The sequence below is a fragment of the Homo sapiens genome, chromosome 3, assembly GCF_000001405.40.
Source record: "Homo sapiens chromosome 3, GRCh38.p14 Primary Assembly".
In the NCBI taxonomy this organism is placed as follows: Eukaryota; Metazoa; Chordata; class Mammalia; order Primates; family Hominidae; genus Homo; species Homo sapiens.
This window is the reverse complement of record NC_000003.12, coordinates 136,605,717-136,633,240: the sequence shown is the minus strand read 5'-3', so window position 1 is coordinate 136,633,240 and position 27,524 is coordinate 136,605,717. Positions and strand designations below refer to the sequence as shown.

The following is a 27,524-nucleotide window of genomic DNA, read 5'->3' as shown; positions in this document are numbered from 1 at the left end:
TCACATTTTTTAATTTTTATTTTGGGGCCGGGGTGGGGGTACTTTCTGGCCGAAACTGGAAAGCCTGCTGGACAAATTCAAACATTAACATTAAAAAAATGGACATTTTGAATATTAAAATGTTTTCACTCTGGGAATCATCCTTTCACCTCCCCCATGCCCTGTTTGATTTTACTGACTGTTAAAATCTATAGTCATCTGTTTATTTAGTGATTCCCCGCCCTCCCCCAACTACTTTTGCCAAGACTGTCTTTATTGTCCTGTGTGGACACTGACATTTTTCATCTTGGTGGTCAAACCAGTAACCTGATAGATTTACCTAAAGAATTGGCACCCAAAAGAGGGAAAAACCCTCTGTGGGTATTTGCAGATAGGTTCTTTGCGGAAGTATTTTTGCAATAAATAGCCTGGCCATTTGCAGCTTGGCCTTAGTCTTCATCTTCTGCTTGCACAGAGCTCAAAGATCAATTAGAGGTGCAAGCCTATGCTTCTCTCAGGCCTCCTCTGACCATGCTTTTAGCCTTGGGCATGCGTGTAGCACCTTGAATTCCCCAGAATACGTGGGAGTCTTTGAAAGCCCTTAGTCCGTAACATATTTTCCTCCTTAGACTCTTTATTCTAAGGCTTTACATATTGCTGCTTGTCTTGTATGCTGTCTCTTACCCCAGAGAGCTTATGTGTAGTATATATATTTAAATCCTTTCAGCAGATGCCAGCTGGGAATCTCTTCAAAATGCACAGCTATCATTTTTGAGAAGGAAGTTGGTATTGCTCCCACAGGTACCAGCAAGTTGCACCAAGAGTTTGATCTGCTGTCCTCATTGACACTGTTGAGTTGGGGAATGGGCGATGGTAGGCAAGTAAGCAAAAGACGCCATAGTGCCTTCTCACCAAATTTTGCAGCTTCTTTCTTTGTTAAGCACCCCTCTCTTTGTAAGTTTTATTAGATTCAGGAATTCTGTAAAAGTTGATTTCAGTTTTTGTCAACCCAAGTGTTGTTTCACTGGAGAGGCTTATTCTTGAAGTTTTCTACTCATCGATTTCCCATGGTATGACTCCTTTCATTTTTTTGAAAGATTATCACTTGGTATGTAATTCAGGGTTGACTTTTTTTTTCCCCCTCTGTCAGTACTTTTAAGATGTTACTCCATTGTCTTTGAACTTACATAGTTTCCATTAGGAAGACTGATACTGATCTTTGTCTTTCTGTATGTATGTATCCTATTTCTTTAGCTTCCTTTTGAATTTTCCCTTTAACTGTGGTTTTTAGCAGTTTGTGTAGTTTGATGTATTCTGCTTGGGAATTCTCTGATCTTACATCTGTTTTGATATCTTACATGATTTTTTGAACATTCTTCCCCATTATATCTCTTCAAATATTTATTCTGCCTTGTACTTTGTCTTTCTGTCCGGAATTGTAACTATACCTGTGTTATTCCATTTGATACGGTATAATGGCCTAGTGTGGACTGTTAGGTCCTACTACCCCTGCTTTTGAAAAATATGAGACTTTATGTTTTTTAGAGCCATTGTAGGTTCACAGCAAATTTGAAGGAAAAGTAAAGAGTGTTTGCTTATATTCTCTGTCCCTACACGTGCACAGCCTACCGTACTATCAACGTCCTGCACGAGAGAACATTTTTTATCAGCTGATCAACCTATATTGACAAGTCACTATCACCCCAAGTTGCTACTTTAAATTAGGGTTGACTCTTGCTGTTGGTGTCTTGCTGTTTTTGGACTCCTGCTGTTTTTACAAATCTGTAATGACACATCCATCACACATGTTTCACTGCCCTAAAAATCTTCTGTGATCTGCCTGTTCATCCCTTCCACCCACTAAATCCTTGGTAACCACCGATTCTTTTACTGGCTCCATAGTTTTGCCTTTTCCAAAATGTCATATGGTTGGAATCATGCAGTATGTATCCTTTTCAGATTGGCTTCTTTACTTAATAATATTTAAGGTTCTTTCATGCCTTTTCAAGGCTCTCAAGCTAATTTTAATGCCAAATAATATTTCACTGTGAGGATGTGCGTAGTTTATTTATTCATTTACTTAGTGAGAACATCTTAGTTGCTTCCAAGTTTTGGCAGTTATGAATAAAACTGCTATAAACATCTGTGGACATTGGTTTTCAGCTCATTTGGGTAAATGCCAAGTAGTGTGATCACTGGTAGTGGTGTGGATTGATTGTAGTTTATGAATTTTGTCATCCTCATTTTATTTTAAAATAATTTCTTTTTTTTAATTGACAGGATTGCCTTTGAGGTTATTTTAAAAGTTTTGAGTTGTACAGCACTTGATTATTTTGCTGCATTGTGAAAGGACCTCTCCAGCAATGATTACTTCAGAATTACCAGTGTTACAGTAAGTATTGTAATTTTCTTTTTTTTATATTTTTTAAGGAAAATTTTGGACAACTTATTTCTTTATCAAAATGCTCTCTTCGATGATACATTTCAAATATGTTCTTTGATATTGGGACAATATCTTTGCAGTGTAAGTAGTAGTAGGGTGTGTAATTACCGTATCCATTCATGGCTTTTGCTATTGAACTGTCAACATGTTTTCTGATATTCAACAAAAAAGATGTTAATGTCCTATATCAGGAGTCAGCAAACTGTGGCCCATGGGCCAAATATGGCATGTTGTCTCTTTTTGCAAAATAAAATTTTGGATGAGAGCCATACTCATTCCTTTACATGCTGTTTATGACTACTTTGTATTACAAGTTGTGACAGTGATAGTATTGCGTGGAAAGCCTAAAATATTTAGTCTGGCCATTTACAAAAAATAGTTTGGTGTCACCTATCTTATACCATACTCTTTCTCTACCCCTTCTCTACCCCCCCTCCCTGCTCACTTCCAGCTCTTTTATTATGATTCTTTCTTTTTCCTTAGATTGAGATTGTTGAGGTGTTCCGGCTACCAGAAGAAATGTAAGGGATACACCAGTTGACATTTTTGATGGCGTCCCATTAGATTTGTTGGAGTTAAGGACAGATTTAGAATTGGGACTTATTTTTATTTTTATTTTCTTTTGAGATGGAATTTTCCACTGTTGCCCATGCTGGAATGCAGTGGTGCGATCTCGGCTCACTGCTACCTCTGCCTTCCGGGTTCAAGCGATTCTCCTGCCTCGACCTCCTGAGTAGCTGGGATTATAGGCACGTGCCACCATGCCCGGCTAATTTTTGTATTTTTAGTAGAGACGGGTTTCACTATGTTGGCCAGGCTGGTCTCGAACTCCTGACCTCAGGTGGTCTGCCCACCTCAGCCTCCCAAAGTGCCGGGATTACATGCATGAGTCACTGTGCCTGGCCAGATTTAGAATTGGGACTTATTCTGGGAAATGTGATCACAGGAATGGCAGATATTGTTCCTTTCATAGCTTTTATCATGATGCAAGTCGGGAATCTGCATACTTTGATTCTGTATAACAATGGTTTAGATATAATAAAAGTGATGAGCACTTTAAGCAGTTATTTATATATTATTACTACTCAGTTCATTTACATACCTTATTTTCAAGAGAGAACCTCTGATTGATCTCTTGGCCTTCTTTTTTTCCCTTCCAGCATTCTAAGACACAGAGCTATCCAAATTTCTTTAAACCGCTTGAAAAACCATCAATACTGTCCTCCTGTCCTTTCGCCGACATATGGGAGATAAAATTTATTTCTGCCTACTTATTTCTTTTTTACCCCTGTACCTGAGCATGATATCATATATATAAATATATGAACATATATAAATATGGTATAAATACCATATTTATATGATATTTAAGTTTGGAGGGCCCCTTATAGTATTTTCTTTCTTTTCTTTGTACTTATACACTTCTGCCCTTACCTGGCCAAGCCACTATCTATTTAAGTCTTAGCTCAGGTCTTATGCCTCCAGAAAAGTACTTAATGTAACATTTTATAATTGTCTCTTGTTTTTTCTGACCCATCTCCTAAACTGCATTGTGTGCCTTATTTTTGTATGTCCTGCTGCTAGGACACTGTTGGGTATTAGGTAGGCCTTTAATAGCTCTTTGATAAAATATGAAACAGAGGTTATATTTAAATTGAAGTTGTATTACATGAGTTTGTATTGACATTATATCTAATATATCATGCTTTGTGAGTGAATTTTTTTCAAAAGAATGTAAATCTGTAATATGTCTGTGGGTACTGGACAGTGGTGATCTGGGAGCTGGATAAATGAGCTCTGGTTTAGATCTGTCAGCCGAAGATGGTACTCTTGGTTAAATTGAGATGTCCAATTTTGGTTTTAAAATGTAGACACTATAAAGACCACTCTAGTGATTATCCTTATTATTTCTTGGCTTACTTAGATATTGTAATTGCTGATGGATTTGTCACCTTAGTGCTGTTTACTATTAAGCATTGTCAAAACATTATCATTTACTACATTTTATATTCCGGGAAGCCTACTAGGTTCTGGGTAGATATAACATGTAGAGCAGACTTAGTTCTTTTTGCAAAGAAGCTTGTAAAGTTAGATATAAATCAAATAATCACAAATACATAGTTCTAAACTATCATTGGTGCTGTGAAGGAAAAGTAGGAGGTATTATGAGAATTTTAACACATGCCTTTGTTTAGTCTACTTTTCTAAGGAAGAGACAGTTGAACTGAGGTCTTAAGTGGGGTTTAGGAGAAGAAGAAGGGAGCAGGCTATTAGGCCCAGACTGAGATTATGTCATGCAAGGACCCTGCGATATGTTTGAAGGCCTGAAATAAAGCCTCCCCCCACCCCTTTTTTTTCTCCAGCACTGGGGATGGAGAGTGACATGAGATAAACTGTGAGTAGGGAGGAACAATATCATATCAGTACCTGCTAAGTCATGTTCAGAATTATGTTTTTTTCTCTTCACTATGTGTATTATTCCATTTTCACACTGCTATAAAGAACTACCTGGAACTGGGTAATTTATGAAGAAAAGAGATTTAGTTGACTCATGGCATGGCTGGCGAGGCCTCAGGAAGGTGAAGGGGAAGCAAGCACCTTCTTCACAAGACAGCAGGAGAGAGAGAAGTGGGGGAGTGGAAGGAAGTACCACACTTTAAACCATCAGATCTCGTGAGAACTCACTATCACAACAACAGCATAGAGGAAACTGCTCCCGTGATCCAGTCACCTCCCACCAGGTCCCTCCCTCGACAGGTGGGGATTACAGTTCGAGATGAGATTTTGGTGAGGACACAGAGCCAAACCGTATCAGCATGATAGAGATATAATAAGCTATATACTTAGAAAGTTACTTGGTGCAGTATAGTATTAGATGGGAAAGGCCAACACTAGAAACAAGGAGACCTGTCAGGAGAAGGATGTTGCAGTATCTAGGGAAAAGATGATAAACTAGTTACCCTGGAGATAGAAAGAGGTAGACAGAATTTAGAGAGCTCTAGGGAGCAAAATCATTTTTTAAACAAGATTTGATCTTACTCTTCCATGCTCTTAATTTATGTCTAGTAGTGTTATAAATGTGAACATTAGCCATTTGCAGGAGTTTTGAAGAGCAATTGGTCAAAGTTTGAATTTCCATACCCCTTGACCTGTCATTTTCACTGCATATATCCTAAAGAGAAACTTGATTATGTAGTAAGATTTATTTATGTACAAGAACAGTCATTTCAGCCCTGTTTGTAATAGTGCAAAACTAGAGACAAACTAAGTGCTCATTGATAAGGAAGTAGCTAAATAAGTTCAGTGCATATTATGGAGTGCCATTCAGGAATCTAAAATATTTATATGGAAGATTCTCATGTATGTAACACTTAAAAAATTGAAATATTGATATTTATATTTTGAGAGAGAGAGACAGAGAGATGCAAAAGCCTAAATATTTATGGCAGCGTCAAACTATTAACAGTGGTATTCTGCAGATGGGATTCAGAGTTAGGATGAGATAAAGTGAAACTTTTCCTTGTATTCTTATATATTTTCTGTTGCTCGAAATTTTCTTTTTCAAAAGCCTAGAATTTGTTTTCTTATGTCTTAATAATTAAACATACACATACTAACACATAACAGTGCATTAGCTGTTTGTTGGCAATAGTTCTCACTGTTTAAGCTGACTGCAGTTGGCAGCATTATTAAACAAATTGTACTTTTCTGACTCTTGGTAGGGGCATCAATAAACAATACTGCTGAAGAATAGGTTAGTTTCACTAATGGGTCAGTAATTATATTCTAGAACCAACCTGCTCCTATAGTTGCCTGGACACTTGTAAGCATCAAAAGCACTTGGAGATTTTGTCCACACAAGATAAATACGAAACATAGTATTTGCATTGTAGTATCTTAACATGAAAATAGAAAATTCAGGTTGATCTTGAGATCTAACTGGACTCTGCCACTTACTAAGTGTGCGACTGTGGACAAGTTTATCGGGTTTTCAGATCTTTCATTTCCTCATTCATAAAATCAGGAAGATAACATGCTTCTTACAAGGTTTTTGTGCATATGTATTATAGATAACATATGTAAACTGACACATAGTCTATACTGAACATGGCCTATTTGGATTGTAGTGAGGAGAAAAAGCAGTATGATTCATTGTTCTTTAGTAGAGACAAATAAGATTGACTGGATCCGGGTTGGCAAATACTGCTAGTGGTTCAGATGCCTCTTTTAAATAAAATGTTGAAACATAGCCACACCCATTAATTTGCATATTGCATATGGCTGCATTTATGTTATGTCACCAGGGTTGAGTAGTAGCTATAGAGAACTTAAGACCCATAAGCCTAAAATATATACTGTATGGTTTTTTGTTTTTTTGGTTTTTTTTTTTTTTTGAGATGTAGTCTCACTCTGTTGCTCAGGCTGGAGTGCAGTGGCGTGATCTTGGCTCGGCCAACCTACGCCTCGTGGGTTCAAGCAATTCTCCTGCCTCAGCCTCCCAAGTAGCTGGGACTATAGGCGCACACCACCATGCCTGGATAATTTTTGTATTTTTAGTAGAGAAGGGGTTTCACTATGTTGGCCAGGTAGGTCTCGAACTTCTGACCTCATGATCTGCTGGCCTTGGCCTCCCAAAGTGCTGGGATTACAGGCATGAGCCACTGCACCCGGCTGTATGGATCTTTATGAAAAAGCTTGCTGACCCTGGACATCATTTACAATATTATTTATAGTTTCATTTTTGTTGTTTTGTTTTGTTTGTTTTTGAGACAGAGTTCTACTCTTTCGCCCAGGCTGGAGTGCAGTGGTGCTATCTCTGCTCACTGCAACGTCCATCTCCCGGGTTCAAGCGATTCTCGTGCCTCAGCCTCCCAAAGTGTTGGGATTACAGGCATGAGCCACTGCGCCCAGTCTTATTTATGGTTTTAAATACCAGATTAACTTTAAAGATATATAAGTTAGAGTAATATGATAACTTTGAAGATTTACAAGTGGGTAAGTAATGATGTGAGAATATTACTGGCAGCGGTGTGTAGAATGGCTTGAATAAGCAGCAGTAGGGAGATAAATTGAGATTATCATGGGGAGTGGTGATTGTGGTAATAATCCTGGAAAGAGTGAGAAACAGATTATATTGTTCTGAGAAGGATGGCTGAGGTAGGATTATGTTAGCAGGAGGCACAAGAAGACTGATATCATTCTATCAATTCGAGTTTATAGACAGGATAATGGTGACAATAAATTTGTATAATAACTTAAAGCATACGTATGCATAACTTAAATCAGTTAATTAATTGTATCTCTGTGAGTAGAAAGTCAGAGGTAAGTCAGGATTGGATTCAATTTTAGATGTGGCATTTGGTGAATTTGAGGTGGCATTCAAGTAAGTATGTCATGCATGCAAGATAAAAATCCTGAGTCAGAGATCTGGAATGCGGTCAGGTGTACTGATAGGGTATTGAAGTCATTTGCATAGAAGTTACACATTAACTGGATGAAATCTCCAAGGGAGTGTAATATAAATGGAGAAGAGCAGACCTAACAGTTGAGCTTTAAGGAAGAGGGAATGAGCCTAAAAGAGCATTTGGTGAAGGAGATTGAGAAATAGTAGATTGTGAGTTGGACTTACCATTTGCTATGTACTTTTCCTACTCTTTACAATTTTATGCAGTAATGTAGAATTTAGTGAAGAGATTCTTGTTCATGCTGTCTAAACCTTTTCAATGCTGTGTTGAAGCCAGCTTGTATTGGCCTGTGAGAGTTAAATATTAAATTTTTAGGAATTTTGCAAGGTAGCTAAACACAACATATCTGTTTTAAAAAGTTAACTTATATAAGCTTAAATTAAATGTCATATGAAAAATAAAAATAGTAAATACTCAAAATTCATCACTTCCTAATTATTTCATGTTACTATTTATGCTCTTGAAGTTGTTATTTAAACCTGTTGTGTCTTTGTGGTAGAAATATGTTTTAATGCTGTACTACTGTTTGTCACTTCCCACCTCACTTTGGTTATGCCACTTTGGTCATTTGAAATTGGCTATGGTAGGAATATGTACACCGTGAAAATCAGCAAATGATAAAAATCAATGCTTAATTTATTGTTTTGTTGATTATAGACTTAAGAAAGTGATAGAGAAATTGTTAACAATGCAGATTCAACTTAAAGGTGTATCGGATGGTCTATACCCATTACAATACAATAACAAAAAATTGAGGAAGCATGTTTCCTCAGCCCTTATCTGAGTCAGCAGAGAAGTTGCTCACACCATTGACTAATGAATGAAGTTTCAACAAATGTCTTTATAATTTTACTTGCATCCTACTCATTAAAGTGAACAAAAATAGAAACCACCTTTCATGTTAAAATTCCTATTCATTCATCAGTTGCAGCTGTAGGTTAGATTCCAATAATTGGCTGGGCACGGTGGCTCACACCTGTAATCCCAGCACTTTGGGAGGCCGAGGCAGGTGGATCATGAGGTCAGGAGATCGAGACCATCCTGGCTAACACGGTGAAACCCCATCTCTACTAAAAATGCAAAAAAAATTAGCCGGGCCTGGTGGCGGGTGCCTGTAGTCCCAGCTACTTGGGAGGCTGAGGCAGGAGAATGGTGTGAACCCGGGAGTTGGAACTTGCAGTGAGCTGAGATTGTGCCACTGCACTCCAGCCTGGGCGACAGAGTGAGACTGTCTCAAAAAAAAAAAGATTCCAATATAAGAGTTGGGCAAAAATTATCTTTAAAATTATTTTGTGAGAATCGGTTATGTGGAATTTACAATAAAGAGTGTTTTGTGTTTTATTATTGTTTGTAAATTATATGCTAAGTATCCTTTATGTCTTTTTTGTTGGTTTATTTTGTTTTCAGACAGAGTATTGCCCTGTTGCCCAGGCTGGAGTGCAGTGGCGTAATCTCGGCTCACTGCAACCTCCGCGGGTTCAAATGATTCCCCTCCCTCAACCTCCTGAGTAGATGGGATTACAGGCATGCGCCACCATGCCCGGCTGATTTTTGTACTTTTAGTACTGATGGGGTTTTACTATGTTGGCCAGGCTGGTCCCAAATTCTGATTTCAGGTGATCCGCCTGCCTCACCCTCCCAAAGTGCTGAGATTTATAGGCATGAGCCACCGTGCCCGGCCGTATGTCTTAATACTTATAACTTAGGTGTTTGTATTTTTTTTTTGAAAAGACTGGCATAACACTGCCCTTCATGACTTTATAAAATAAACAAAATAAATAAAAATATTCCTAAGCCTTCATATTTTTGTACTGAAGAATTAGTCTTTTGCAGTTATATTTTGCATTTATTTTTGTATAGCAGCTATCATTTCCACAATCATTTCTTCCTCTTCATTTCCCTCTTTATTTGGGGGATTCATTTCACTCACTGTTATGTGAAATTAGGAAGGGAGGATAACATTTTTAGTTTGCTAGAGAGTTTCTCTGAAAGTAGAAGTATAAACCACTTCTAATCAGCCATATAGCAGGTGGTAAGGAAAGTAGTGAAACAGAAATGCATTATACTTATTAATTTGTTCGCTAAAATAATATAACATTTTCTAGGGATTCAACTAATGAAACTACTGCCCATTCCGATGCTGGCAGCGAGCTTGAAGAAACAGAGGTCAAAGGAAAAAGAAAAAGGGGTCGTCCTGGCCGGCCTCCAGTATGTATTATGCTTGTCTTCTTTGTTCCTTTAATAGTGACCGTGTTAATGAGTTTATATGAGTTGTTAATTCTAGTGCTAGTATGGTTAATACTTAAAAAAAATTCAGTGACACAATAGAGATTGGAAACTTTTTTTCACATAAATTGTCTTGGCAGTGATCAGAAAAAGGAGATGATTGTAGTATGATTTTGTTGCCCTCCTTCTCTTTGTAAATAAATGGTAGTCCATGTGAAGGCATAGAGAAGGTCACTAACAGTGAATGAGGTTTAGTTAGTTAAGACTTGCTGCTTTTCAGATGCAACTCTGATTTCTTATGAGCTCCCAAGTACTGTTTTGGAGTTTGGGGCCAGTCTCAGAGTATATTCTCATTGATAACCTGATTGGGAAGTTTAGAAGAGCTCTAGATAATCCTACTTTGAGAGATAGCTTAATGTATTGTACGAGCATCAGTCATAATTTAAGCATGCATAAACCCTATAGAAGATACTGTTATCTGCTTGTCAAGGGGTTAAGGGTTATACTGTTCTATGTTTGCTTTTATGATGTGATTTGCTATTAGTAATTCTTTTCTATTTTATGAAAATTCTTCTAATGGAAACTCTTAGCCTCCTTTTAATAGGAGACATCATATAATGAACCCACCATATAGCCATTACCCAGATTTAGCATTTATCAAATCATGACCAATCTTGTTTCATCTCATCACCCCTCCTCCTTTTTTTCCATCCTATGTTATTTTTAAGGTCATTCTAGACATCATTCCATCTGTAAATATTTTAGTGTGTATTGCTAAAAATAAGGGCCTGTTTCTTCTTTCCCCCCCACCGATCGAGTCTCACTCTGTTGCCCAGGCTGGAGTGCAATGGCACAATCTTGGCTCACTGCAACCTCCACCTCCTGGGTTCAGCGATTCTCCTGCCTCAGCCTCCTGAGTAGCTGGGATTATAGGCCCTCACCATCATGCCCAGCTAATTTTTTCTTTTCTTTTTTTTTTTTTTTTTTTTTTTAGTAGAGATGGGGTTTCGTCATGTTGGCCAGGCTGGTCTCGAACTCTTGACATCAGGTGATCCACCCGCCTCAGCCTCCCAAAGTGCTGGGATTACAGGCCTGAGGCACCGCACCCAGCCCTCTTTTTTTTTTTTTTTTTTTTCCACACCACCACAATATCATTGTGAAGTCCCAGTATAAAATATTTTATTAATATCACCAAATAGCCAGTTTTATAGTTTGTAATCATCTTATGAACATTTAAAATCTAGTTCGGTGGTTAGAGTCATGACACAGGAATGATCCACCCCCTGCAACTGATGGTTATGTTGCTTAACCAGTTATTGTCTATATGTCTTTTACAGTGAGTTACACAACAAGACTGGTTTTTTGATAAGTTAAGTCATTTTTCCCTCTTGTTTGCCAGAATTTTTAATTAATTACTCCTCCAGGCCAACCTTAAAATAAAAAACAAGATGAAAGACTTCTTGTATTTTGCTATACACTTGCTTTTATCCTCTACTTTTATTTAAAGGAAAAAAATAATGGGGGAAGACATGCAGTATAGTAACTTTTTGTATTATTTCTTCATTTGTAGAAGTATTTGGTGGTACAGTATTCTTTACAAACGTATTTTGGGAAAAGTGAGAGTTTTGCACTTGGAAGCTGTTGACTATTCTAGTTCCCATTACTACCATGTGATTTTTCTGAGACCATAGGCAAGTTTCATTGCTATCCTGGCAATCTCAGGATATAACTGCAGAATTGGAAATAAGACTAGATTTGCTTAAAGGTAGGAGAATGAATTGCCCACATGTTTGCTTACTTGAATTTGTTCTCCCCAACTTGAAATTCTTCACTTACAGGATTCAGATTAAGTACTGTCTCCTTAAAGAAACTTTTTTATTTTTCCTAAAGAGAATTTACCACCCCACCAGCAGGCTATTGTATAATTCGTTAGAACCTGTTTAAGTTTTATGTGTGTACAGCTGAATCCTTGTAATGTTGTACCTTTTTTTTTTTGAGACGGAACCTTACTCTGTCGCCCAGGCTGGAGTGCAGTGCAGTGGCATGATCTTGGCTCACTGCAACCCGTGCCTCCTGGGTTCAAGTGATTCTTCTGCCTCAGCCTCCTGAGTAGCTGGGACTACAGGCGTGCGCCACCACACCCAGCTAATTTTTTGTATTTTTTAGTAGAGATGGGGTTTCACCAATGTTGTGCTTTTTTGATGAAAAGAAGTCTGTGTACCCAAATGCTTAACCCTTTTGTGGTAGGAAATACTTGATTTTTACTGAAGTTACTACTACATAATCTAGTAAGTAAATAGTGCATGTTCATGCCATATTTACAGTATTGAAAAAATGTCAACCAGTATAAGAAAGTAGTATTCTAGAAATTTGTTTTATTTATATTTCAGTCTATACATTCACACAAATTAGTTCACATGGCTGTCTGTACTTCCACCTAACTCAATCAGTCCCATTTCTTGATTGTGCCAACAATGTAACATAAACAACTTCCTGAATTTCTACTTTGAGCTTTGTTTTGGCTTTTTATGTTATTTAATCCTCACACTAGTGTTATGAAATAGGTCTTAGATGCAGTTTACAGAGTAGAATATGAAGTTAAAAAGTGGTAATTTGCCTAAGGTCACACAGCAAGTAAATGGGAAAGCTAGGATTTGAATTTATATGATAACTCCCACACTGTTTCTCTTAAGGAAGCCAGAATGCCAAGCTGTTAATTAATCTTGAGAGTTATAATTGTCAGAATGATCAGATTGGAGTCCTGCCTCAGGTACCTATTATGAAGAAATATTGGACATTTTCTATCAACTAGCTGCATTTTGAACAATAAATCAAGTTTTAACTGATAGCATTCTTTGTTTAGCTGTAGTAATACTATTCATCACTTCTTTTTTTAAGTTTAATCCTTTTAAAATTTATTACTTTTAAAAGGCATTTCTTGTATCTTTGGTTTTCATTTAGCCAGTCAAAAACAAATAATATAAGGAGTTTCTATTATAGGCAGTATTGTTTCCTTTACTTCTATTTTATGTTTTATTTTATTTTATTTTATTTTTTCTTTTGAGACAGGATCTCACTCTGTCACCCAGGCTGCAGTGCAGTGGCGCAACTGTGGCTTACTGCATCCTCAAACTCCTGGGCTCAAACAGTTCTCCCACCTCCTCAGCCTCCTGAATAGCTGGGACTACAGACGCACGCCACCACGCATGGCTGATTTATTTTTGTGTGAAGACCGGGTCTCACTATGTTGTCCAGGCTGGTCTTAAACTCCTGGGCTCAACTGATCGTCCCACCTCAGCCTCCCAAAGTGCTGGGATTACAGGCAGGAACCGCTACCCCGGCCTCTCCTTTTTTTTTTTTTTTTTTTTTTTGAGACAGAGTCTCGCGCTGTTGCGTAATCTGGAGTGTAGTAGCACGATCTTGGCTCACTGCAACCTCTGCCTCCCAGGTTCAAGCAATTCTCCCACCTCAGCCTTCCAAGTAGCTGGGATTACAGGCATGCGCCACCACACCTGGCTAATCTTTGTATTTTTAGTAGAGACAGGGTTTCACCATGTTGGCCAGGCTGGCTTGAACTCCCGACCTGAAGTGATCCACCAGCCTCAGCCTCACAAAGTATTGGGATTACAGGCGTGAGCCACCACGCCAGGCCTAAAGATGTGTTTAACATTGCAAATCGCCACCTCTACCCAATATGACTTAACTGTTTTCCCCTTGCGCTAACGTAACATACATTTTACTTACTTGCTTATTGTCTCTCTCCTACAACTGGAATGTAAGTTGTGTGAAGGCAGGAATTTTTATCTAGTGTGTCTTCTGCTATTTACTAGTGTCTGACCTGCAGTAAGTGTTCAGTAAATGTTTAATGAGTGAATGGTGTTTTAATTTTGTTAAATAAGCACTGCCCCACCCCCTGCCCTTTGGTGTTTAAAAAATTTTTCATTTTGAAATAATTTCCAACACAGAAGGATTCTAAGAATTCTATGAAGAATTGTCAGCTGTCCTTCATGCACATTGTCCTAATGTTAGCATTTTACTACATTTGCTTTATCATATTCCCACTCTTTGCTTCTGTCTTCTCCTCTATGTATGTACACACATATACACATGTAAATATGGATTTTTTATGACATATGCAGAGATAAGTATTTTGGTATCTATTAGTTTTGAACTGTTTTGGAGTAAGTTGCAGACATGATGTTACTTTTTTTTTAAATTCAGTATTGTTTTGTAGAATATCTCTTCGCAGCACTTTATTTCTAATAGTTTAGTGTGTATTTCTTTGCAGTCAAGGACATTTTTTCTTACATAACCACAGTACAGTTATGAAAATATGAAAATAATATTGATATAAGAATGATATCTATACATCTCATTTAGATTTTGCCAGTTGTCATAATCTAATCCCTTAAAGAAAAGAAAAACTATTCTTTTCCTGAATCAGGGTCTAGTCCAGGATTTTATGTTGCTTGTAGTTGTCATGTAAATCAGCACCTCTCTAACCTTAACCCCTCTTTAGTCTCTCGTGTTTTATTATGGATTTTTTTCTCTTAGTGAGAACCAGCACTTCTATATTCTCAACATTATTTAACTTTCATATTTGCATAGGCTGAGTAGGAGAGGTAAATAATGTTGTATATAAAGTTTCAGTGCTGCAAAAGAAATAGCACTTGAATATAAAATGTTCTTTTAATTCTCAGCAAGGCAAGGTACTTCTATAGAAGGGTGCGCCCTTACAGATGGAACAATGGTGAGTGCACACTTGGACAAGGGAGGGGAAGGGGTTCTTATCCCTGACGCATGTGGCGCCTGCTGCTGTGTCATTCCCTTATTGGCTAGGGTTAGACCACCCAGGCTAAACTAATTCCGATTGGCTAATTTAAAGAGAGTGACGGGGTGAGTGGTTTGGTGGGAAAAATGGTTATGACAGAGCAGGTGATCGGAATGAGTCAGGGTGGAGCAGGTGATTGGAATGAGTCAGGGTGGAGCAGGTAATTGGAAAAGGTTGCTTTATGAGGAAGTTAAGTTTAAAAGTAGAAGGCAAAGAATTGAACATACTTTTCTTTGAAAAGAAATTTAGAACTCATATCTAACAATAAAAAGATACAGTTTTTATTTTTAAATGTCTATTCATACATAGAAGATGGAGAATGCACAACAAAAGATTAATGAGTACCAGAAGGGTAAGTTAACAGGTCACTTATAAAAATTGGATCTTTAAAATTATTTGGTAGTTTAATGTAGACTGTTGGGAATTTCATAATATTCAAATTCCAAAGTTTTTTTTTCTTTTAAATACCAAAATTTTTATTTGCCCACCCTCTTGGTTTAGCATTATAAATCAAATCAATCTCTTTTTGACCCAGCGTTGTGATAGGAACCACCATGTTACAATGTGGTGGCAGATGTCTGCTAGATTTTTTCTGGCTCCTCTCAACCTCTGACTGTCACTTCTTTTGTCCTTTCTTGGTTGTCCTTTAACAATCTGTTATAACTCCTGTAAAATAGAGAGTAAAAGTACCAACCCTGTTGTTACCAGGTTTTATGAGGACTAAGCTAGGACTAAGTCAATCTTTCAGGAACATTCAGACTCCAGTGGTTCCTCCTTGATCTTCAGTATAGCTCCTTATCTGTAATGGGCTGAAGAACCATTGAACTGATAAACCAGGCACATGGGTATAAGTCCATAGGCCAGGTGAAGGCCTGGATATAAAATATATGGACTTTGTGATGACCACTACCAACATCCAGCCTAAAGAAGGACTGACTTAGCATTTCCAACACCAATGATCTCATGGTTCCCTGTAGATGTCTCCCTTGTACCTCCATTAAGACCAGAGCTTGAGGAAGGGCCTCTCAATTTCCCCTGCTACACTTGGAATAGTATGAGGGACTCAGCAGAGGCTGGAAACTGAATGACCAGGCCCAGGGAGTTAATGTGGGACACTGACAAACCAATTGCAGAGTTGGTGCCATGTTGAGCATTTATGTTAAAAATTCTTAACTATTCTAAACCATGCTGACATGAACTGTTTTGCAAGTAAGTTTTGCTGTATAGCCATTGTTTTTTTTAATCCTAAATTTCTAGAAGTGAAGTTTGTTAGTATATGCTGTTTGTTTTGAAAGCTTTTGACATATATTATTGCCTTTCACACAGCAAAATATATGGGTATATGCTATGTTACTGCTTATAATGGTTAAGTCTTTTCTAATTTTTAAGTGGTGAAGTTTAAATCAGTACTTTCTATATTGTTCATTATTTGTGAATAAAGGTGGTATGATCACAGCTCACCACAGATTCGATTTCCCAGGTTCAAGTGATTCTCCCACCTCAGCCTTTGGAGTGGGACTACAGTCATGCATCACCACACCGGCTAAGTTTTTGTAGAGGCAAGGTTTCGTCATGTTGCCCAGGCTGGTCTCAAACTCCTCGGCTCAAGCAGTCTGCCCAGTAGGACTCCTAAAGTGCTGGATTACAGGCATGAGGCACTGGGCCCAGCCTATTTATAATTTTCTGTACTACTTTTTCTATTTTTATTTTTCTAAGAAACAAAGATCTCTATAAAAAATTTTTTTGGAGCTTAAATGTGCACTCTTTTGTGATCACTTTAGGAAGTATATTAGTTGGACTTCTTTTTAAGCTGTCTTTGTTGTTTTCTTAATTTTTCATTTAGAATTTTCTTCTACTGACTAGACTAGTTTTTAGTTCTGACTTCCTTAATTATGTTAAAGACTACCACAGTTCCAAGAACACAGAATTAAGACCTGAGTCATTGTTACATTTCCTCATCTCCAAGTCTCTTGTCCTGTCTCCTTTATCTATTGAAATTTGAGGTCTGATGACTTTTTTTTTTTTTTTGAGACGGAGTCTTGCTCTGTCGCCCAGGCTGGAGTGCAGTGGCGCGATCTCGGCTCACTGCAAGTTCCGCCTCCCAGGTTCATGCCATTCTCCTGCCTCAGCCTCCCGAGTAGCTGGGACGACAGGTGCCCACCACCATGCCTGGCTACTTTTTTTGTATTTTTAGTAGAGACGGGGTTTCACCGTGTTAACCAGGATGGTCTTGATCTCCTGACCTCGTGATCCACCCGCCTTGGCCTCCCAAAGTGCTGGGATTACAGGTGCGAGCCACTGCGCCCAGCGTCTGATGACTTTTACTTTATAAGCTCACTGTGTCTTCCACATCTGTCCTTTATTTTACATTTCCCAAGTTTGTATCTTTAGGGCTTACTTTATTGGCAGCTGTACTGTTAGCTTCCTACCTTTGGTCTTTGTCTTTTTCTATTTCATCCTTTTTAATAGTGCCGGGTGGGAATATGTTTTTTCTTTTTTTTCATTTTCTTTTTTTTTTTGATTTGGAGTCTTGCTCTATTGCCCAGGCTGGAGTGCAGTGGCACGACCTTGGCTCACTGCAAGCTCCGCCTCCCAGGTTCACACCATTCCCCTGCCTCAGCCTCCCAAGTAGCTGGGACTACAGGTGCCCACCATCACGCCCGGATAATTTTTTGTATTTTTAGTAGAGATGGGGTTTCACCGTGTTAGCCAGGATGGTCTCAATCTCCTGACCTCGTGATCTGCCTGCCTCGGCCTCCCAAAGTGCTGGGATTACAGGCGTGAGCCACCGACCGGCCACGAATATGTTTTTTCTTATTCAAAAAGCAGGCAGTGCCCCCACTCCTTTTTTTTTTTTTTTTTTTTTTTTTTTGGACAAAGTCTTGTTGTCACCCAGGCTGGAGTGCAGTGACACGATCTCAGCTCACAGGCAATGCCATTTTATGAAAAAGTGTGGGGTATCTTCAACTAACCTAATATTACACCTAATATTTTATTGTATTTCCCTGTTCACAACTTTTTAGTCAGGTATCTATCTGTCTCTTGTTTTTTCATGTATGGCTTTTGCTTTCCCACATTCACACCATTGCTCATTGTGTTTTTTCGTTCTGGAACCCTTGTTTTCTAAATTCTACATATGCTAATCTTACTAATACTAATTCTTAACTAATTTTATGAGTTCATGAAGTCCCAACTTGCAGCATAATTTTTTTGTGAAACTTTTCCTGCTTCTCGGTACTAAAAATAATGTTTCTCTTAGAAGGTTTTTAGCACTTATCATAAACCAAAATTCCATTAAAAGTATCTTTGTATACTATAGTTTATTATTTTATATTGCACGTATTTATCTCTTTATCTTTTAATTGTGTATGTATAAAATTTTTGCATTATGCAGTCCCCAAAAAAGTTAATATATATTATTTGTGATACGGTGTGGATTATTTCACATTCACAGCTCATTATGCCAGATAAGGCACAAAGGTTAAAGAATGTTTTTGTATCTTTGTTTCTTAAAACTTCTAGGAAAGTCATTGCACATTCATACTGCAACTTAACCTATTCTAGAGCTTTGGAATAGAGTATTTGGGATAAGTTATTTTCCTACACAGCAGGGCTAATTTGTGTATTTAAAACAGTTTACTAGAAATGTAGATACACATTTAAATTGAATAGTATACAGTTGTCCTAAAGATTGCTGTAAATTCTGAGATTAGATTGCATCATTTTTATATAGGAACAGTGAAGATTAATGACTTCCTATGTATATGTAACATATTTTCCATGAAATTCATTACTTACTGTGTTGCTGCAGGCTTTCTTTCAGGTATTTCAGGTTTGCTTTCCTATACATACTCATTAAAATATTTTAAAATCACTATGTCCCTTGAATTACCTGCAGTAATGAACTCTAATTTCTGTATTAATAACCCTATGGACCATAGATATTTCATTTGTACTGTTGTTTATGGGATATAAAACACTAGTGTTCCTTCATCACTACCAATTGACAAGATTGTATTAGGATGTTGAAAATACATCTTAAATAATATAAGTTCTTTTTTATTTTATTTGTTTATTTTTTGAGGCAGAGTCTTTCTCTGTTGCCCACGCTGGAGTGCAGTGGCACAATCTTGGCTCACTGCAACCTCCGCCTCCCGGGTTCAAGCAATTCTCCTGCCTTAGCCTCCTGAGTAACTAGGACTACAGGCGCGTACCACCATGCCTGGCTAATTTTTTGTATTTTTAGTGTAGACGGGGTTTCACCATGCTGGCCAGGCCGGTCTCAAACTCCTGACCTCAGCTAATCCATCCGCATCAGCCTCCCAAAGTGCTGGGATTACAGGCATGAGCCACGACGCCCAGCCAGTATAAGTTCTTTGAAAGCCATGTTTGGGGATAGTGGTTACCATGTTGGACAGTGCACATATAAAGAATCAGTCTGGGTCCAGTCTGGTGAGAGAATCATTGCCAGTAATTCAAATGGAGAAAAATTAATGTAAAGAATTAATTGGCCGGGCACAGTGGCGCACACCTGTAATTCTAGCACTTTGGGAAGCCAAGGCGGGGCAAATCACTTGAGTCCAGGAGTTCGAGACCAGCCTGGCCAACATGGTGAAACCCTATCTCTACTAAAAATAAAAAAATTACCTGGGTGTGGTGGCACACACCTGTAATCCCATCTCCTTGGGAGCCTGAGGCACAAGAATCACCTGAACCTGGGAGGCAGAGGTTGCAGTGAGCTGAGATTGCATCATTACATTCTAGTCTGGGTGACAGAGTAAGACTCCATCTTAAAAAATAATTATTAACTATTTAAAGGCTTCAAATCATTTGTCATTTGGGAACTGCAAATCAAGACAACAATGAGATCCTACTACATGCCTATTAGAATGGCTGAAATTTAAAAATCTGACAATATCAGTTTCCTGGGAGGTATGTGATACCACAGAAACTCTGATTTCTTTTTTTTTTTTTTTTTTTTTTGAGACGGAGTCTCACTCTGTTCACTTTGTTGCCCAGGCTGGAGTGCAGTGGCATGATCGTGGCTCACTGCAAGCTCCGCCTCCTGGGTTCACACCGTTCTCCTGCCTCAGCCTCCCAAGTAGCTGGGACTACAGGCACCCGCCACCACACCTGGCTAATTTTTTTTGTATTTTTAGTAAGGGACAGAGTTTCACCATGTTAGCCAGGATAGTCTCAATCTCCTGACCTCGTGATCCGCCCACCTCGGCCTCCCAAAGTGCTGGGATTACAGGTGTGAGCCACTGCGCCCGGCCCAGAAACTCTCATTTCTTGCTGGTAGAAATGCAAAATGGTACAGCCACTTTGAAAGACAGTTTGGCAATTTCATACAAAGCTAAACATAGTCTTACTCAAAGTTCCAGCAGTTATACCTCTAGGTATATACATAGCTGATTTTAAAAATTAAGTACACAGAAAAACCTGCTTGTGAATGTTTTTTATTTGTAATTGCCTAACAGTGGTGACCCAGATGCCCATTATTTGGTAAATGGCTAACAAAGTGTGATACATCCATGGAATGGAATGCTATTCAACAATTTTTTTGAATGACCTATTTGGCCACTAAAAGACATGGATGAATGTTTTTGTTTTAAGACAGGGTCTTGCTCTGTTGTTCAGGCTGGAGAGAGTGCAGTGGAACGTTCATGGCTCACTGCAGCCTCAGGCTCCTAGGCTCAAGCCATCCTTCTGCATAGCTGGAGCTACAGGCACATGCCACCGTGTCCAGCTAACTTTTTTGTTCTTGTTTTTTGTTTTTTTTATCCTTTATCTTTAGATATTTTTTCTTTTTTCTTTGTATTTCTTGTCAATTGATAAATTTTTTTATTTTTTTGTAGAGAAGGAGTCTTGCTTTGTTTCCCAGGCTGGTCTTGAACTCTTGGCCTCAGCAATCCTTCCGCCTTGTCCTCTCAATGTACGGGGATTAGAGGTGTGAGCCACCGTGCCCAGCCAGACATGGATCTTAAATGCATATTATTAAAGTGAAAGATGTTAGTCTAAAAGGCCTACATGTTGTTAGACTCCAGTTACGGTTGAGCAACCCTAATAGAAAAATCTGAAATCTGAAATGCTCTGAAGTTCGAAACTTTCTGAATCCGAACATATAGCCATATAAAAAATCCACACATAGGCCAGGCGCAGTGGCTCATGCCTGTAATCCCAGCACTTTGGGAGGCCGAGGCGGGCAGATCACAAGGTCAGGAGATCGAGACCATCCTGGGTAACACAGTGAAACCCAGTCTCTACTAAAAATACAAAAACTTAGCTGGGCATGGTGGCGGGCACCTGTAGTCCCAGCTACTCGGGAGGCTGAGGCAGGAGAATGGCGTGAACCCAGGAGGCGGAGCTTGCGGTGAGCCGAGATCGCGCCACTGCACTTCAGCCTGGGCGACAGAGCGAGACTCTGTCTTATAAAAAAAAAAAAATTCCACACATAACCTTATGTGACGGGTCACAGTTAAAACCAAGATTAAGGCGAGATGCAGTGGCTTACCCCTGTAATCCCAGCATTTGGGAGGTGAGGCAGGCAGATATCTTGAGCTCAGGAGTTCGAGACCAGCCTGGGCAACATGGCAAAACCCATCTGTACCAAAAAAAAAAAAAAAAAAAAAAAAAAAGCTGGGTGTGGTGGCTAGTGCTTATAGTCCCAACTACTTAGGTGGCTTAGGCTGGAGGATTGCTTAAGCTTGGGAGGGGAGGTTGCAGTGAGCTGTGATCGTGCCACTGTACTCCGGCCTGGGTGACAGAGTAAGACTGTGTCTCAAAAAAAAAGAAAAAGTAAAAAGGTCAAAACTTTGTTTCATGCACAAAATTATTAAAAATATTATGGCCAGGCACGATGGCTTACACCTGTAATCCCAGCACTTTGGGAGGCTGAGGCGGGCGGATCACCTGAGGTCGGGAGTTCGAGACCAGCCTGACCAACATGGAGAAACCTCATCTCTACTAAAAACACAAAATTAGCCGGGCATGGTGGCGCATGCTTGTAATCCCAGCTACTTGGGAGTCTGAGGCAGGAGAATCGCTCGAACCCAGGAGGCGGAGGTTGCAGTGAGCCTAGATTGTGCCGTTGCAATCCAGCCTGGGCGGCAAGAGTGAAACTGTGTCTAAAAGAAAAAAAAATTATGTAAAATTCCTTTCAGGCTGTGTGTGTAAGGTATATGTGAAACATAAACGAGTTTCATGTTTAGACTTGAGTTCCATCCCCAAGATGTTTCATTATGTATGTGCAAATATTCTAAAATTTGAAAAAACTGGAAGTCTGACACACTTCTTGTTCCAAGCATTTCAGATAAGGGGTACTCAACCCATATATTAATATGTGGAAAAAAGGAAACTATGATGATGATTAAAAAATGAAAAACTAGTGGTTTCCTGAGAAGGGGAAGAGAAAGGGTTGAATGGGCAATACACAGGATTTTTAAAGTAAACTATTCTCCATGATAACCATTAATTGTGCATACACAACACCAAGCATTTGTCAAAACCCTTAGAACTTCACAGAACAAAGAGTAAATGTGTTTTTTTTCTTTCATAATTGAGATTTTGTTGGTTGTGTTGGGGATTAGTACACAGACATTTCAGTTTGTGTGCAATTCTTAACATACATACTGAAAATCTAAAAAAAAAGTTTGTAATTCTTTTTTAAAGTTATTCCAGTGACTTTCCAGCTTAAAATTTGGAGGCAAATTTTCCTTGAGTCTATCAAGTACCAGTATCTTCACATGTTGATAAGCTGTTAAATACACTTCTCCAATTCAGTTAAAAGCATATACACAACATACTCAAATATTCAGTCTTTCACAGCACATTAACAAAGTTATTGGGAAAACAGGAATACCACAACCAAAGATGTTAGAGTGCACACAATTCTGACAGGGAGAGCCATGATCAAGGAGTTTTTATTTGTTTGTTTGTTGGTTTTTAGAAAATCCTGCTAAAGGCCAGGTACAGTGGCTTACACCTGTAATCCCAGCACTTTGGAAGGCTGAGGTGGGTGGATCACAAGGTCAGGAATTTGAGACCAGCCTGGCCAATATGGTGAAATCCCATCTCTACTAAGAATACAAAGATTAGCTGGGAGTGGTGGCGGGCACCTGTAGTCCCAGCTACTTGGGAGGCTGAGGCAGGAGAATCACTTGAACCTGGGAGGTGTGGAGGTTGCAGTGAGCTGAGATCGCACCACTGTACTCCAGCCTGGGCGACAGACGAGACTCCATCTCAAAAAAAGAAAAAAAAGAAAATTCTGCTATAAAAAAACATGCAATAGAAATAATTTAAAATATCCAAGACATTAAAATGCAAAATTTTTTTTTTAAATTCAGGACTATAACTCCATGTTGCCATTTTATATGCTTTGTCTTTTAGGATATGAAAAGTAACCCCCATCTATGGAATGTTAAGCTGACACCCAACACAGTCAAAGCCTCCGACAACAATTCAGTATCCCACACTATTTTCTGGTTGTACCAAAAGATAACCAGTGAATGATTTCACCTCTTAAAAACAAAAAGCATTTACACTTTAAAAATGGGATGTGGGTAGGATTCCCTTCTTCTTAAAAATGTTTCTAGATCTACTAAAAAACTTGCATTTATACAATAGTTGATAAAAATATTCCTCTGGATTCTACTAGAATAGAAGGACCACTGATAATAGTATATGATATTAATCAGACTTGGCTTCTTTTTCTCCGGCTTCACCAGAAGCTGGACTCTTCTTGGTTTTGCTTTGTCCATTTTCTGCAGGTAAATCTATAGTTTTTTGGTTAGCCTGATCAGCCTCTTTTCTCTTTGCTCCCCTTTTCCCTTTTCTTTATACCTTTTACATGTATATATGTGTGTGTGTATATATATATATATGTATCTATAAATATTTATATACAAATTTATATACAAATATATATTTATATACAAATATATATACAAATATATATACACATATATGAAAGCTAATTTTTGTAATTTTTTGTCTAGACAGGGTTTCGCCATGTTGCCCAGGCTGGTCTTGAACTCCTGGGCTCAAGCGATCTGCCTGCCCTGACCTCTGCTGGCATTACAGGTGTGAGCCACTGTACCTGGCCCTGTTTGTACTTTCCTGCTGCCTTTTTTGACTTCATTTCCACTTTTCAGGAGCAGGTTTAGCTGACAACCATGCCTGTCTTCCTCTTTGACTCTTTCTTCACTTTGACTTCCACCTCTGTTTAGCTGACTTTCCTCTTGGGCATCATTGCAGTGGGGAGAGTACATACTGGGTGCTAGTGGGCCATGGTGCACAGAGAGCCTCAGTGAGCTGGGCTGCCGGGCCGCTCCTCCAACTGCCTGAGCTACTGATACCCGCTCAAAGAGTGACTTTGTTATGTGTAACATATGGGAGGTGTATTTTATGTTTTGTCCACATAAGAACCTAGAAGCAAAGGTACTCTAGTAGCAACGAGCAAAACATAGTGTCTAGTTCTTTTTTTTTTTTTTTTTTTTTTGAGATAGGGTCTCGCTGTCATTCAGGAGTACAGTGCTACAATCACGGCTCACTGCAGACTCCACCTCCCCGGCTCATTCGATTCTCCTACTTCAGCCTGCTGAGCAGCTGGGACTACAGGCACACACTACTACCCTAGCTAACTTTATAGAGATGGGCTTTTGCCATGTTGCTCAGGCTGGTCTGGAACTCCTGGGATCAAGTCATCCTCCCTACCTTGTCTACCCCTGTGCTGGTATTACCAGTGTGCAGTTCTTTTTGTTGTTTTGTTTTTGAGATAGGGTCTCGCTGTCATCCAGGAGTACAGTGCTATAATCACGGCTCACTGCAGACTCTGCCTCCCCGGCTCAATCGATTATCCCACTTTAGCCTGCTGAGCAGCTGGGACTACAGGCACACATTACTACCCTAGCTAACTTTGTAGAGATGGGCTTTTGCCATGTTGCTCAGGCTGGTCTGGAACTCCTGGGATCAAGTCATCCTCCCCACCTTGTCTACCCCTGTGCTGGTATTACCAGTGTGCAGTTTTTTTTTTTTTTTGAGATGGAGTCTTGCTCTGTTGCCCAGGCTGGAGTACAATGGTGCAATTTCAGCTCACTGCAACCTCTCTGCCTCCTAGGTTCAAGCGATTCTCCCGACTCAGCCTCCTGAGTAGCTGGGATTACAGGCATGTGCCACCACGCCTGGATAATTTTTATATTTTTAGTAGCGATGGGGTTTTGCCATGTTGGCCAGGCTGGTCTAGAACTCCTTATCTCAGGTGATCTGCCCGCCTTGGCCTCCCAAGGTGCTGGGATTACAGGCGTGAGCCATTGTGCCCGGCCAACCAGTGTGCAGTTCTTACTCTCTGATATCATTTTCCAATAAAAGGAACCCAGTCTCTTTCTTGTATTGGTTGATTCTAGAACTGGGGCAAGGAATATACAGGGTGAACCTGGAGCATCTTGTGCCAGTAAGTAGCCAAGTGCTAAAAAAGAAATGAAAAACCACACAGAATGATGTGATTATGTCATAAGGACTTGGGAGCCAACTAAAAGAGCTCCCATTGGCCAAAGCTGAAACAATTTGAACAACAAAGTAAAACAGTATTGAATTACATCGGACACGGTGGCTCACGCCTGTAATCCTAGCACTTTGGGAGACCGAGGTGGGTGGATCACTTGAGATCAGGAGTTCAAGACCAGCCTGGCCAACATGGTGAAACCCCATCTCTACTAAAAACACAAAAATTAGTTGGGTGTGGTGGCACATGCCTGTAATCCCAGCTACTCAGGAGGCTGAGGCAGAAGAATCGCTTGAACCCAGGAGGCAGAGGTTGCAGTGAGCAAAGATCGCACCACCGCACTCCAGCCTGAGCAACAAAGAGAGAATCTGTCTCCAAAAAGAAAACAAAACAAAACAAATAGTATTGAATTAGAACCCCAAGTATAAAATAAATGATGAGTATATACTGATATAAATGATTGAATAAATAAATGGTTGAGAATAGACAAATCTTCCATGTGAGAGAATTATAATTTGTGTAAATACTTCCTCAATGAGGTGGAGTGGAACTTCCTACCCCTTAAATGTGGGCTATACATAGTGACTTTGTTCTGAAGGGTACACTATGGAAAGAGTAAGAAAAGTACAGAAGTGAAACCTGACAAAACACTATGTCAGCCAAGTGATTTAGGTCAATATCAACATTGATTAATTATGTTGATAGTATGTACTCTTGATATGAGGTGATAAAAATGGCATGTTACTGGCTGGGCGTGGTGGCTCAAGCCTGTAATCCCAGCACTTTGGGAGTCTGAGGTGGGCGGATCACGAGGTCAGGAGATCAAGACCATCCTGCCTAACACAGTGAAACCACATCTCTACTAAAAATACAAAAAAAAGTTAGCCGGGGTGGTGGCACACACCTGTAGTTTCAGCTACTCGGGAGGCTGAGGCAGGAGAATTGCTCGAACCCAGCAGACGGAGGTTGTAGTGAGCTGAGATCACGCCATTGCACGTTAGCCTGGGCAACAAGTTAACTTCGTCCCCAAAAAAAAAAAAAAAAAGCATGTTACCTCTCCTTTCTTCTCAAATCCCATAATCCCTTGTCTAGTTATGACAAAAACATCAGACAAATTCCAGTGAGGAACCTATTAGAAAATGCCTGATCAATATTTCTCAAAACTCCTATGGTCATCAAAAACCAGGAGAATCTGAGAAACTGTCACAGCCAAAAGGAGCTTAGGAAGACATGATGATTGAATGTAATATTGTATCCTGGATGGACTCCTAGACCAAAAGGTCATTAGGCAAGAAGTAAGAAAAATCAGGCCGCTCGTGGTGGCTGATGCCTGTCATTGTGGCACTTTGGGAGGTGAGGTGGGTGGATCACTTGAGGTCAGGAGTTCAAGACCAGCATGGCCAACATGGCGAAACCTTGTCTGTACTAAAAGTACAAAAATGAGCTGGGCGTGATGACAGGCGCCTATGATCATAGCTACTCTAGAGGCTGAGGCAGGAGAATCACTTGAACTTGGGAGGCGGAGGTTGCAGTGAGTCGAGATTGTGTCACTGCACTCCAGCCTGGGCAACAGAGTGAGACTCCCTCTCAAAAAAAAAAAAAATTCAAAGAAAGTATGGGCTTTTGTTAGTGTATCAGTATTGGTTTATTGTAACAAATGTACCATACTAATGTAAGATGTTAATTATAGGAGTAACTATATGTATTTAGGAATTTTCTGTACTATCTTCATAACTTTTTTTTTTGTAAATCTGAAAGTTCTAAAAAAAGTTTATTTAAAAATTAAGCAATGAACTCTATATATTAATCCACACACAGAAATGGTTAGAGGGCCATTAACTACTAACAGAAGTGAAAAGAGGACTATACTGTCAGAAACACAGTAAAAGCAAATGCAGGGAGCAGGTACTATAATAAGGAAAAGAAGCCCCTCCAAGCTATGCCTTGTAGTGTTCCTCTAGTACCTTCCTTTTACAAAGCCTAATACTGCAGCAGATGGCAAAAGATAAATGTTTACAGGGTCCAGCTTCAGTGTCAAAAAGCAGGGCAAATTTATTTCAATTTATTGTCTCTCATTGG

General features: G+C 39.3%; 1 protein-coding gene and 1 pseudogene across 4 annotated transcripts in view, besides 1 other annotated feature; one reads left to right on the top strand and one right to left on the bottom strand.

Moving 5' to 3' along the window:
- STAG1 (STAG1 cohesin complex component) overlaps positions 1-27,524 on the top strand; it is a 416,143-nt gene that overhangs the window by 119,138 nt on the left and 269,481 nt on the right. For 2 of the 4 annotated variants that reach the window (XR_001739978.2, NM_005862.3), the window contains exons 2-3: positions 2,260-2,371; positions 9,993-10,095. Coding sequence is in view for 1 of the 4 variants with exons in the window: in NM_005862.3 (NP_005853.2) it covers positions 2,343-2,371; positions 9,993-10,095 (132 nt within the window). In the remaining 3 variants the exon portion in view is untranslated. Of the gene's footprint in view, positions 1-2,259; positions 2,372-7,969; positions 8,037-9,992; positions 10,096-27,524 lie in introns of those variants that run through there. The other 2 variants (XM_047447228.1, XM_047447229.1) reach the window with 2 other exon arrangements.
- Positions 7,067-7,567: an enhancer, noted in NCBI's record as "H3K27ac hESC enhancer chr3:136344516-136345016 (GRCh37/hg19 assembly coordinates)". NCBI's record gives its function as "activates a minimal SCP1, AML or CMV promoter by ChIP-STARR-seq in naive H9 embryonic stem cells {active_cell/tissue: H9 hESC(naive)}" and the evidence as "EXISTENCE:reporter gene assay evidence [ECO:0000049][PMID:30033119]".
- HMGN1P10 (high mobility group nucleosome binding domain 1 pseudogene 10) lies at positions 23,639-24,191 on the bottom strand (annotated as a pseudogene).